Below are 13,570 nucleotides of genomic sequence, written 5' to 3'. Positions count from 1 at the left end.
TCCTGAATGTTTTCCATTCTGAGTCCTTAACATGTAATTAGACAGATTATTTAGTGAGGAGTTTTTCTTTTATTGTAAATTAATTTCAAAACCAAGTTCTGAGGTTAAATAATGATTGTATTTGTTAATCAATCCAACCTGGGTTTCCTTCCAAAAGAAAACAGGGTACTATTATCAAAATGTTGGAAACAGGATGTTTGAGACTGTGGGGTTCATTAATTGCAGTGATGTGAAGGGTCCTGACAGCACTAATGCTGATATCTTTTTATGAGACAGGCATGTGCTTTGAGAGAGGCAACACTGGAGACGCTGGTAGGGATGTGCGCTGGGACCACGAGTCTCTAGCAATAGGCTAAGTCCCAGGAAATCCACGGCTTCCCCAGAGGGGGCTGCAAGCCCCTTAGCTAGGCCTTCGTTTGCCTGCTGGAGAGCCCATAACTGTCCATCTAAAGATGGGGCTGGTGCGGTGGCGTATGCCTGTAATTCCAGCACTTTAGGAGGCGGAGGCAGGCAGATTGAACTCAGGAGTTCAAAACCAGCCTGGGCAACATGAAAAACCCTCTCTCTACATAAAATACAAAAATTAGCCAGGTGTGGTGGCACACACCTGTAATCCCAGCTACTTGGGAGGCTGAGGTGGGAGGATCACTTGAGCTCAGGAGGTGAAGGTTGATCACGCCACTGCACTCCAGCCTAGGTGACAGAGTGAGACCCTGTCTCAAAAAAAATAAAAAAAAGAAGAAGAGAAAAGAAAAGAAAATATAGATAAGCATAGAAAGGGGGAAGGCAGGGGTGTGAGAGCAGATCATCCTTAGTTGGCTAGATAAAGGAGAGATCGTGTGGCCCACAACCCCCTTCCCCAAGACTGGGATTGGATAATGCTGAGAGCCCTGGCAGAGACAGCTCCTAGAAGCTGCCCTAAATCCTGCAGCCGGGGCTGCTCAGTCAAGCTGTGGGCCCGGTCCCTGGCTGGGGGCAGAGGCAATCTTTTAGATGCCTTGTCACCTGGCATGGAGGGTGAGGGCACTCTGGGACTGGGACTCCACAAAGGAGCACTGGAGAGAGGAGCGCAACTCCTCCCTTCCCTCTTCCAGGACTCATTGCCCTCGGCAGTGTCAGTGGGGCCTGGGGAGGGCTGAGGAGGAAGCCCCTAGGAGGGAACCAAGGCGGGGGAGTCAGGGGCTGCCCCGCACAATCCCGGGCCCTGGGGAAAGGAAACACGCACTTCCTTGCAGTTTCAGTGAAACTCCTCTGGCACGCGGGATAGAGTCTGACTCGGTGGCTGGCGCCCATGGCTTATCGGTCTCAAGGGAGCTTGGTTCTCAGATTCTGAAGCTGAGAGCGGGAGGGTGAAGCTGGTTTGGCTCTTTCCTAGAATTTCTCTATGGCTCTGGGCTTGTCTCCCAGCCTCTCTAGAAGCTAGACAAGCACCATTCCTCCAGAACTTTCTGCAGTGATGGAAATTGTTCTCTGTGTTGTCCAGTACAGTAGCCACTAGCCACATGTGGCCATTGAGCATTTACAGTGGGGCTGGTGTGACCGAGGAACTGCACTTTACGTTTGATTTAGTTGCAGTGAATTTAAATGTAAATAGCCACGTGTGGCTGGTAGCTGCTAAACTGGGCAGTGCAGTCCTAGAGTCCTGCGCCTCAGCTCGCCTCTCCCAGCTCACTAGGATCATTGGGCAGTGGGAGGGGATGGCAACGTTAGGTATAGAGGAAGGCCACCCAAGGATTCCAATAAACCCCAGTCTTGTGATAGTCTATGAGAAAAAGTTAGATTACATCTGGCAAACAGTCCACTCTGTCTTCCTCTTGGATTTATTTATTTATTTATTTATTTATTTATTTATTTATTTACTGAGACAGAGTCTCACTCTGCTGCCTAGGCTGGGGTGCAGTGATGCAATCATAGCTCACTGCAGGCTCAATCTCCTGGGCTCAAGCAATCACCCCACCTCAGCCTCCTGAGTAGCAGGGACTATAGGCACGAGCCACCATACCCAGCTAATTTTAAAAATTTTTTGTAGAGATGGGATCTCCCTGTAGTGCCCAGGCTGGTCTCGAACTCCTGGCATCAGATGAGCCTCCTGCCTCAGCCTCCCAAACTGCTGGGATTATAGGTGTGTGTTATTGTGCCCAGCCTCCTCTTGGATTTTTGAGACGTATATTTGCATGTTAAATAAAGGCACTGAGATATTCTGCTTAGAAAACAACCGTTTTATTTAATCTCAAATTTTCCAAATGTATTTGACCACACCACCTTTTTTTACATGGCACGTCTATTGGCATTTTGTGGAGTTCCCCTTGGGAAATGCTAGAAAAGGAAACTGGACATGTGGAGGAACTGATGCTCCCAAATGGGGTGACTCTTGGGTTCTGCAGCATGTACGTGGGAAACTCAGAGTTCTTGGTTAAATTGAAGACATTTCCTTGGGTTTCCCCAGGCCTTTGCAGTCTGGGCAGGAGCCCAGCAGTGGCCCTGGCAGCCCCATCAGTGTGTACTTTGCCCTGGACATGGCAGCTGTGGGGCCCAGGGCAGCTCCTCCCTACTCTGCAGGCTGCTCGTTGGCATTAGGGCCTCTCACTGGGGAGCACAAAGGCAGCTGCCCCATTTCATGTCTTTTTTTTTTTTTTTTTTTTTTTTTTGAGACGGAGTCTCACTCTTCACCCAGGCTGGAGCGCAGTGGCGCGACCTCAGCTTACTGCAAGCTCCGCCTCCCGGGTTCACGCCATTCTCCTACCTCAGCCTCCCGACTAGCTGGGACTACAGGCGTCCGCCGCCACGCTCGGCTAATTTTTTGTATTTTTAGTGGAGACAGGGTTTTATCGTGTTAGCCAGGATGGTCTCGATCTCCTGACCTCGTGATCTGCCCGCCTCGGCCTCCCAAGTGCTGAGATTACAGGTGTGAGCCACCGCGCCCGGCCATTTCATGTCTTTTCATTCTGTTGCTCCTCTAACCGACCAGAGTTTGATATGGAAGAAACTCTGTCGTCGTTCCGCTACCTGGGCTGGACCCTGATGGGAAGACAGACAAGGCAGGGCAGATATCCATCAGGCACTCCCTCTGACTGCCCAGGTATGCAGTATGGAGGCCAGGGCCCAGAGCTGCCTGGAACGCGAATGACCTGCACCTGCAGGAAGGATCCAAGTGCTCTGGCAGGAATAGCTTCGTGCTTGCTTGGATGAGGCAGTGCTCAAGCCTGTTGACTTTGCATTAAGCCAAGAAGCAGGGCACCTGCCTTCCACCCACCGCCCCCCACTTCACCGCTCACTGGCCTCATGGAGTCCAGGATCACACAGCTCTGGTCTCTGGGGTATTTCAGTGGGGTTGATGCTACAGATTGCAGGAAAGTAACAATTACTCTCAGATGAGGCAGACAGGAGACTCACAGCTGGGGGACATTCAAAGGTATCTCACAGTGCTTCCCAGAATAGGGAAAGGCCCACAAGAGAGGGGCTGCCTTGGCCACTTTCCATCCCTCTCTGGGGAGTATCAGCTCAGCAACCTGTTTCTTCCTGGGCTCAGTCCTCTGGGCAGCAGAGAGTGGTACCCTCGCCTCCACTCCCCCTAGAACTCTGTGGGTGCAGGTGGAGCCATGTATGCTCAGGGCTGACCTGTACCCAGCCCACTGCTTTGAGCCTGATCGAAGAACCTGGACGGAAGATCTGGAATGCTTCTCTCTGCCGGCTCACGCTCTTGACACCAGTGCACATCTGAAGTCACATCTGGGAAGCCTGGTCAGACCCTGTGGAAAGACATCACCAGCCAGCCAGGAAATTACAGGTCTGTTGGGCTTGGCCAGAGATGGGATTCTCTGCTTTGCATCATGAGGGGACAGCCTGCCCTGGCCTGGAGTGCATGGCCTGGTCTGTTTTCCTGTGGACATGCTATAAACATATGCATGGCTACCATGTTGCACAGCTCTGGGACACCGCTCTAAAGGAACACAACCTGGGCCATTCTGGACACACACACACACACTTATATGCGTGTGTGTCAGTCTTGCCACTGTGCACACCTTCCTCACCATACCTCACACTCCCAATACATCAGTATATAACTGCACTCAAAAGCCAGGCAGTGGTATTACCCATTCTAGGAAGCCAAGGGCTTCCCCCAGGGCATTTGAAATGAGGTTCTCTTTACATCTAACCTTTCAGGACCCATATCCAGTTCTATCAATTGAAATGCACCTGTGCTCAGATGACTCACAAGTACATGCAGGCTTGCCAAGGGCCAGAAAGCTGCTGTTTCCAACTGCAGCAGATTGCTGGTAGATTTATGACTCAGGGTCATGAATCCACAAATCACCTTTATCCCCATGGAAGGATGATTGTGCATTAGCTTGAAAGAGGCCTTTGCTGCAGGTGTCTTTGGCAAACCTTGGTCAAAGCTGTGAACCACCAGACAAGGAAATTCTAGCAGCTCCGCTGGTCTCTGAGAAGTGGCAAGGGTTGCAATGGAGAGGGAAGACTTGCGTGCAAATCTATAGTAACCTAAGCCCTAGCATTTACTGAACTGTGTGTCAATCCTATAAGTATAATACCTTTGTTCCTTCTGTGTGGGGCATCGCTGGGGTTTTGGGGTAATCTGACACCAGTGGTTCCAGAATCAGTGTCAGAGGTCACCCAAGGAAACCAACACATCTTTTTTTTTTTTTTTTTGAGACGGAATCTTGCACTGTTGCCTGGGCTGGAGTGCAGTGGCACGATCACAGCTCACTGCAACCTCTGCCTCCTGGGTTCAAGCGATTCTCCTGCCTCAGCCTCCAGAGTAGCTGGGATTACAGGCACCCACCACCATGCCTGGCTAATTTAATGGATCCAGAAATGTCAAGACACTACCCCAGGATTCAACGGCACATGAGGGACAAAGCGAGGACCCCACCCTTATTCTTTCAAGGCTGGCCTGTGCCCCGGAGCTCTTCCACACACCTCCCTCTCCAAAATAGGGAGAAGCCCAAGACAGTGACTCAGAGCCCCCTTGGCAGTTTTGCTGATAATTTTTTTGTTTTGAAGTGAGATGTTCTGCCTCTATTGAAGTCTTTAGGAAATTATAGTGATTTTGACTTTTTCAGACATGTTTGAATTACTCACAGTCTGGAATTCCCAGGCAGGGGGTGAAATTTAGAGAGGCCTTAGAATACAGAAGTTAGGGGCACAGGATTTGGATTAAGGGATCTGAGTTCAGATCCCCACTCTACCACTTAGTAACTATGTGAGTTAATCACAATGAGCCTTGGTTCCTCATCTGGTTTTGATAACAAACACCAGGACTTAGTTCAAGGGTTGCTGGCAGACTAAAGGAAGCAACGAGCAGAGAGTGGCGCAAAGGAGACCTGAGTACATGGGCACTGGGGTTATTCCCTGGACACCTGCTGAAGCAGGAAGGCCAGGATCTGACTTACCAAGCACACACCCAGCCTGCATGAAGGCTCAGTGCAGCCTGCGTGGGCTTATTCATCAGGAGCTGGATTGCATGATTTCAGATCTGGCTCTGTCACTAATCTGGGGCCAAAGAACATCCCCTCTCTGAAGCTCTGTTTCCCTCTAGGAAAAATGTGGACAATGACAACTCAGTTCTGTTGTCAGGACCCACGTGGTCAGTGCTTAGAACGGCGCCTGGTACACAGTCTGTTTATAGATGATCCTTTTATCACTGTCTCTGTTTTTTCTGCTTGTACCTGTGTTTCCAGCAGGGCAGCAAGAGCTCATGTGTCTGCAGACCTAGTGGGAGAGTTTCCATACTTCTATTTCTGCCAAATATGGTGTGCATTTGTGCTTTTCTTGCTCATTGTGGCCCAGCCTTTGCCCATGCTCTTCCCTTTGCCAGGAAATCCCTTTACTTCTCTGTCCCCATCGATCGACATCCTTCCAATGTCCAGTTCACAATGTTGTGTGAAGAACTTTCCCCATCTGCCTAGTCATATATAATCTGACCACGCATGATGATTCTGTGGTGTTAGGGGATAGGCAAGTTAGGGGGAAAACCTGGAATGTTCTAAGTGGTTACCCTACGTTGGAATAGTGGTAACCTTCAGTGAGGAAGGGGGAAGGATGTGGGTGGGACAGGGAGCATTTCCAGGGCACAAGCCGTGCTCTATTTCTTGATCTTCATGAAAAGTTCAACAAATACTTATTGTCTGTGCTGTCCAGGGACTGTGCTAGAGTTAGACCCTCCATTCCTTTTTCACAGCCCATTTCTGTGCTTGAGCACTGATTTTATTCTGCCCTACCCTATGGCCTTAATTTTTCTCCCTAGAGTGCAGATAGTAAAGGGCCTTATAAACTTGCATAGTGTTCCGTGGCCACTTTGTGCCCTGGAAGCCTCTCTGTTCTGGACTTTTCTTCCTGACCACAGATCAGGGGTAGGACCAGCTGTATGAAGTCTCTGAGCCACTGCAGTTGGATCTGAGCATGCTCAGAAGGACCATAGGTTACCACCACCCAGCTGGGGATTCAAAATCCTTGAGAGGTAGACCCCAAAGGAAGATGAAGGCTTTAAACTGTTATTGTAAGTGTGTCTTCTCCTCCGTGGGTTGCATGGAGATCAAAGCCTGAAGGAAGTAGAAGGTTGCTCTCTGACAAAAACACCATATTTTTAGAAGCATTCGGTGGTTTAGGATGTTTGCCCCAGTGCTGCCTTTCAGTGGCAGGGGGTGGGGCTGGGGGTGGAGGCCAAGGGCTGCGACCTTGAGCGGAGGTTGGTGGGAGCAGGTTTGCTGGCACGGGGCCCAAGGGTGGAGGCTGAGGGTGGGAGGACAGCCAATCATCACTTATCTTTCCTGAAGACCAGAGAACCAGGCCAAAGCATTTCATGGTTGTGGGGAAGGGGGCTTATGGAGTCTCTGTGCCATCTCCTTCTTTCAGAGATGGAAAAACTGAGGCCCAGAGAGAAGCAGAGGCTTGGCTTAGCTCCACCCTCACCATCCACGCACCCTTCCCATCTGGGGATTTGGGGCTTGCACATATGAAACTGTTAGAGAACAATGCGTCCATTCTGTAATCAAGGCTAATTGGTGTGGTTCAGAAGAGGAGAAACGCCAGGCGTTTGGGGGCAGAACATCAGTGGGTCTCTGAACCAACCACCCAGGAATATTCCACGAAGAATTAGAGTAGCTCCTGGGGCCTGGGAAGGGCAAACCTTGGGTAGGTGAGAGGACATTCAGGCAGCATGGATAGTGCTCGGAGGTGGGACCTAGCTTGGCCTGAATGTGGGGACTGATGGAAGGAGGAACTGGGGCAGAAATTTGGGTCCTCCCCAGACTGGACGAGGCCTGAGAATGAACAATTTGGCGCCCACCTCATTAATTCCTACTGAGCCACATTTTCTTTCTTTCTTTTTTTTTGAGACAGAGTTTCTCTCTGTCACCCAGGCTGGAGTGCAATGGCATGATCTCAGCTCACTGCAACCTCTGCCTGCCAGGTTCAAGCCATTCTCCTGCCTCAGCCTCCCAAGTAGCTTAGATTACAGGCATGCGCCACCATGCCTGGCTAATTTTTTTGTATTTTTAGTAGAGACGGGGTTTCACCATGTTGGCCAGGCTGGTCTCGAACTCCTGACCTCAAGTGATCCACCCGCCTTGGCCTCCCAAAATGCTGGGATTACAGGCATGAGCCACTGCACCCAGCCATGAGCCACCGCACCCGGCCATGAGCCACCACACCCGGCCATGAGCCACATTTTCAAAGGTACCTGGGAGAGGTGAACTGGCTACTCTGCATGCAGAAGGGAGCAGGGAAAGGCATGATGGGGGGTTGCCTGGCTCCCCCCACCTCTCCTCAGTGCCTCTACCTTTTAATCAGGGCAGCCCTGCCTTAATGTTTCTTCCAATATCCTAAACAGCCAGGCTGGGATGGCGAGCTGTAATTTCTATCATTTTTCATATGGGTTATAGGCTCCTTCAAATGGGAACCACATTGGATAAGGGGCAAACCATAAGGGCAGGATGTTGAGAAATATGGTCCTAAGAAGCCACCTGCTTCTCATTTGGGATGTGCCTGGTTTATTGCTTGGTCCCAGTGCCCAGCTGGTTTCGGAGCTGGCAGAGCAGCCATAGATTACTGTCCTCATCAGTCATCTGCGCTGAGGCTGGGGCGAGCAGCTCAGAGCCTGGGGTGTGCCCCTATGCAAAGCTTTGCAGAGACGGTTGGGAGCACTCTGCTCTTTGTCCTTGCCTGTCCCTGCAGGTGGCCATCTGGAGAAAAGCAAGTCCAGGCAAAGCCCTAGAGCCTGTGGCAGGCTGGGCACCCCTGGCTGGTGCAGGCAAGGCAGGACTCTGGGCTCCCACAGTCTTAGCTTCTTGCAAACTGAGAATTAGGGCATCAAAGTAGGCAAAGGGGCCAGCTGCCATGATGATGAAGGAACCATGGCTGCATGCAACAGCGTGGATGAACCTTCAGCATAATATGTGGTGCAAAAGCTGAATGGATGTGTGTGATTGAGTCCATTCGTATGAAGTTCACAACCGGACAGTCTATTCCATGGTGTTAGGGGAGAGGTAAGCTTGGGGGAAAACTTGGAATGTTGCAAGCAATTACCCTAAGTTGGAATAGTGGTAATAGTGGTAACCTTCAGTGAGGAGCAAGGGGGAAAGATGTAGGTGGGACATTTCCAGGGGACAGGCCATGCTCTATTTCTTGATCCTGGAGGTGGCTACATAAGTGTTCACTTTGTCATAATTCATTAAGTTATACATTTATGCTTTATGTGCTTTTCCTGAGTGTTTTTCTTTTCACAATAAAAAGGGTTAAGAAAACAAAAACAGGCATTGAATGATTGAGCCTGGCACCTTCCCCAGTTTGCCTCCTTCTCTGTCTCATTTTTGGCCACTGGTACCCCTGGAATGCTCTCCCTTGCCTCCTCCATGCCTGTGGTCAGCCCCCTTCCAGCTGTCTCTCCCAGCCTGGCTCAGGCCTAGGCCTGCCCTAAGACTGATGGAGTCACAGGCTAGTGGGGCTTCCTGACCCCCAGAGAGCTTGGAAGCTCAGTAGGCCTTGGGGGCCCCCTTTTCAGTAGCACCTGGCCCACCCTGTGCCTAGTCCAGCACTGGGACCTGTGATGGGTTTTGTTGGGGGCTCTGGGGACAGGTTCCCTTGCTCAGAGATTTTCTGCTTTTTCCCTCATCAAGTAGTTGTCAGAGCTGCTTGTTTTTTTTGTTTTGTTTTGTTTTGTTTTGTTTTTTGAGACAGGGTTTTGCTCTTGTCACCCAGGCTGGAGTGCAGTGGCGTGATCTCAGCTCACTGCAACCTCTGCCTCCTGGGTTCAAGCGATTCTCCTGCCTCAGCCTCCTGAGTAGCTGGGATTACAGGCACGCGCTACAACGCCCGGCTAATTTTTTTTTGTATTTTTAGTAGAGATGGGGTTTCACCATGTTGGTCAGGCTGGTCTCAAAACTCCTGACCTCAGGTGACCTGCCCGCCTTGGCCTCCTAAAGTGCTGGGATTACAGGCGTGAACCAACGTGCCCTGCTTGTTTTGTTTTTTAGGGTCTCACTCACTCTATCTCCCAGACTGGAGTGCAGTGGCGCGATCTCAGCTCACTGCAACCTCCGCCTCCCGGGTTCAAGTCATTCTCCTGCCTCAGCCTCCTGAGTAGCTGGGATTACAGGCACGTGCCACCACACCCAGCTTATTTTTGTATTTTTAGTAGAGACGGGGGTTTCACCATGTTGGTCAGGCTGGTCTTGAACTCCTGACCTCAGGTGATCTGCCCGCCTCAGCCTCCCAAAGTGCTGGGATTACAGGCGTGAGCCACCATGCCCGGCCGCTCTTTTTGTTTTTAAGAAGAACTATGGATACATGAAGGCGAGTACTGCCTTTCAGTGGGTGCAAGGAATCCCTGGGTGTTGATGTTGAAGAAACCATTTGAGAAAGTGAGGCTTGTGGGGTCGGGGTTCCTCAGTGGAGGGGGTTGGGCTGTGGGCTGGCTTCCTCTCCACTCCCTATTTTTCTGGGGTAGATGAGTCTCCCCAGCACCCAGGCCTCCTGGCTCTTCCCCGGACCTTTCAGGTGAGAAACTTTCCATTGTTGCCTTATCTCAGCAATCCGCCTCCCCTCCTTGCAGCGACCGCAGGTGCACACAGATCTGAGGGCCTGATCTGTTCCACTCTCTTTATGCCAAACAGAGGAGGGACGCGAACCCCAGCATGAAACGGCACCCACAACCACAAGGCCCGGTGTGCGCCCTCTGAAACCGTAGGTAAAGACAATTACTGGCAATTTCCACAGCATGGTTTGTTTTTTGTTCAAAGGCAGTGGAGGCATTCTCAGCAGCAGGCCCAAAATGTAGTATTCCCACCGCACGCCGCCCTCATGAATTTGTGATAAAAGCTGTGGTTGCTTTGTCCTGGCTCTTCCTTTCAACAGTCAAACCTTCAGGTTTGATGTTGAAACTGCTTTTTTCTTCAAGTGTACTTTGATGGTGCAGATAACGCTCCATGATAAGGAATCTGCCTTCAAAACCACTCACTGTACCTTGTGCTCACCATTAAGATGAACGTCACAAGGGAAAATCGGGTACCCGAATTTTTGAGTAGTGGGATGGGAATGTGCTGAGTCTGTGAAATTCTCCTCTGTGCTGCCTGTACTGGAGATTTGGCATCCCCCAACACCCAAGAAAAGAAGGAGAAGGGGAAGGGGAAGGGGAAGGAAGAAGGAAGAAAGAAGAAGGAAGAAAAAGAAGGAGAAGAAAAAAGCACCAGGCATTGATCAGAAGGAGGTCCTGGGACAGGAGGAAAATGGTGGGAAACGTCCTAGAAACAGCTGTTTTTCCTTTGGCAAAAGCTGTCAAGAATCTACACGTTCATGCCCATCTGTTTTCCTTAATTAAAAAGACTCTGCGAAGCTGATGCTAAGTGGCCCAGAGTCTCTAAGAGCTTGTGAATATCCGAGCACCCTTGGGGAGGCCTCCCAGGTTCCAGGTTCCTCAGCTGCTGCATCTCCTGTGGTTGTGTTTAAGTTCTTCCCTTTGCTCATAAATATTTGCAATCTCCCAAGGGCTGCCTACCCTTGGAGCCATTACATCACAGTAGGAACAGGCCCTGTGTTGCTTTGTGTAAGCAATGATTGTTTTTTCTTTCTAAAGCAGTTTCATGTCTATCATCTCCCATTCTATGGAGAAAGTATTTTTTATTATTATTATTTGAGACAGAGTCTTGCTCTGTTGCCCAGGCTGGAGTGCAGTGGAACAATCTTGGCTCACTGCAACCTCTGCCTCCCGGGTTCAAGTGATTCTCCTGCCTCAGCCTCCCAAGTGGCTGGGATTACGGGCACACGCCATCACACCCGGCTACATTTTTTTGTATTTTTAGTAGACACAGGGTTTCACCATATTGTCCAGGGTGGTCTTGAACTCCTGACCTCAAGTGATCCACACGCCTTGGACTCTAAAAGTGGTGGGATTACAGGCATGAGCCACTGCACCCAGCCTTTTTATTCTGTTTTTCAGAGATAGGGTCTTATTCTGTCACCCAGGCTGATCATAGCTCATAGTAACCTCAAATTCTTGAGCTTAAGTGATCCTCCCATCTCAGCCTCTCGAGTGATTGGGACTATAGGTATGTGCCACCATACTCAGCTAATGAAATTTTTTTTTTTTTTTTTTTTTTTTTTTTTTTAGAAATGGGGTCTTGCTATGTTGCACAGGCTGGTCTCAAACTCCTAACCTCGAGTGATCCTCCCACCTTTGCCTTCCGGAGGGCTGGGATTACAGGCGTGAGCCACTGCGCCTGGCCCTGTGGGGATGGTTGACCAATATGGCAGCCCATGCAAACCCCTGAGGTGTTCTCTGCCCATTTTACAGATAAGGTAAGAACGATTTGAGCAGCAGCTGCAGAAAGAACCCTGAGGCCAAAGGAGGGCTTCTGGAGGAGGTCCCATAATTGTGTCTGAAGAGACCAGGCATGTTCAAAGACCTCCAAGCTTTGTACTGAAATCAGTGGCTTCCCAGGTTTCTTAAGAGGGATCATCTCGGGCCACACGCGGTGGCTCACGCCTGTAATCCCAGCACTTTGGGAGGCCGAGGCAGGCGGATCATGAGGTCAGGAGATCGAGACCATCCTGGCTAACATGGTGAAACCCTGTCTCTACTAAAAATACAAAAAGCTAGCCGGGCGTGGTGGTGGGCACCTGTAGTCCCAGCTACTCGGGAGGCTGAGGCAGGGGAAAGGCGTGAACCCGGGAGGCGGAGCTTGCAGTGAGCTGAGATCGCGCCACTGCACTCCAGCCTGGGCAGCAGAGTGAGACTCTGTCTCAAAAAAAAAAGAAAAGAAAAAAAGAGATCATCTTGGCTCTTGATTTTATTTTTCACTTTGTCTTGTGCCCAAGGACCCCAGAGATCCCAGGCCTGTGAGGTAGAGAGGTGAGAGCTGGCTTACATTAGTCAAACCGTGGGTTGAATCCTGGCCTACTGGCTGTGTGACACTAGGTCAGCTACTTTAGATCTCTGGGACTCAATTTCTTCATCAGGAAAATGCCAGTGTCACAGTAAAATCTCTTTAGGGTCTCTGCCAGGCGTGACAGTTCATAGTTCTGTTATTCCCTGGATTGCCTTGGATTTGCATCAGCCTAACCCCTGGCAGGTTTTGAAGCCCATTCACATGCTTTCAGCAGCTCATTCAATCCCCACCACAGCTCTGTGGGTTGGGAAGGCAGGCAGGCCTGCCATGTTTTCCCATTCCCATTTGAGAGATGGGGAAACTGAGGCACAGAGAGTTGAAGTGGCTAGCCATGGGAACCACAGCAGGCTGGAGGTAGCCAGGACCTGAGCAGGCATGTGGGGACCTCTGGACCACTGTCTTGTGGGCAGCCCCATCAGCAGGGACCCCCCAACCATGCCACCCTGGAGGGCCAAGCATTCTAATGGCCATGACACCTGCTTAGACCAAAGTTCGGGCCAGTTCCAGGGTCTGGCTTGGAGTGTCTGGCCCTCTGAGACTCCTTACCCCATGCAGCTCCAGTAGCTCAGCTCTCGGCCCAACATAGAACACTGGGCAGGATTCAGGAGCTGCTCCCGGAGGCCCCTACAAGGCCTTTCAGAGGAGGAGGCCCTGGAATCAATACTCCAGTAGACTCTTCCTACCTCGGCACCTCCCCTCTGTGTCCACACTCCCTGCCTTAGATCAACAGGTTTCCTTTCTTGGGATCCTCTCATTCCTCCTCCCTGCCAACCTGATCCCTAGCTATCCTTTAAAGCCAGAGGACACTGTGTTTGAGCCAAGTGCTCTACATGCATTTTCTTATTTAATCATCTCTAAGTTTGTTTTCTCATCTGTAAAGTGAGAATAAAAATACCGCTGATAGCATAATTTGCCCCCTATTTTACAGATGAGGAAAATGAGGCTCATGCCACATGCCTGAGATCACACAGCTCATAAGGGCTGGAGCCAGGATTGAACCTTAGGGCTTAAAAAGCCTGGGACCTCTGCACCACTCCACCTCGACTTATTTATCCTGGTCACAAAGCACTGGAGGACTGCTCAGGCCCGTGGCCACTCTTCCCTCACTGGAGCATTCCCAGCCTCTGCTAAGTGTCTGTCCTCTGGGTCTCTCTTGTCTCCCTCTCTGG

The 13,570-nt window shown here is 50.6% G+C and overlaps 1 protein-coding gene across 4 annotated transcripts in view, besides 3 other annotated features; it reads left to right on the top strand.

Annotated features, from left to right (window-relative positions):
* Positions 1–13,570, top strand: part of VDAC1 (voltage dependent anion channel 1) — a 142,670-nt gene that overhangs the window by 17,197 nt on the left and 111,903 nt on the right. The gene's annotated exons all lie outside the window — the stretch shown is intronic.
* Positions 6,572–6,866: a silencer, noted in NCBI's record as "tiled region #10905; K562 Repressive non-DNase unmatched - State 22:ReprW". NCBI's record gives its function as "represses a minimal TATA promoter and a strong SV40 promoter by Sharpr-MPRA in K562 cells {active_cell/tissue: K562}" and the evidence as "EXISTENCE:reporter gene assay evidence [ECO:0000049][PMID:27701403]".
* Positions 9,646–10,146: an enhancer, noted in NCBI's record as "H3K4me1 hESC enhancer chr5:133422889-133423389 (GRCh37/hg19 assembly coordinates)". NCBI's record gives its function as "activates a minimal SCP1, AML or CMV promoter by ChIP-STARR-seq in naive H9 embryonic stem cells {active_cell/tissue: H9 hESC(naive)}" and the evidence as "EXISTENCE:reporter gene assay evidence [ECO:0000049][PMID:30033119]".
* Positions 10,147–10,647: an enhancer, noted in NCBI's record as "H3K4me1 hESC enhancer chr5:133422388-133422888 (GRCh37/hg19 assembly coordinates)". NCBI's record gives its function as "activates a minimal SCP1, AML or CMV promoter by ChIP-STARR-seq in naive H9 embryonic stem cells {active_cell/tissue: H9 hESC(naive)}" and the evidence as "EXISTENCE:reporter gene assay evidence [ECO:0000049][PMID:30033119]".

The sequence above is a fragment of the Homo sapiens genome, chromosome 5, assembly GCF_000001405.40.
Source record: "Homo sapiens chromosome 5, GRCh38.p14 Primary Assembly".
NCBI lineage: Eukaryota > Metazoa > Chordata > Mammalia > Primates > Hominidae > Homo > Homo sapiens.
The sequence above is the reverse complement of the archived record's forward strand: the minus strand, read 5'-3'. Positions and strand labels throughout refer to the sequence as shown.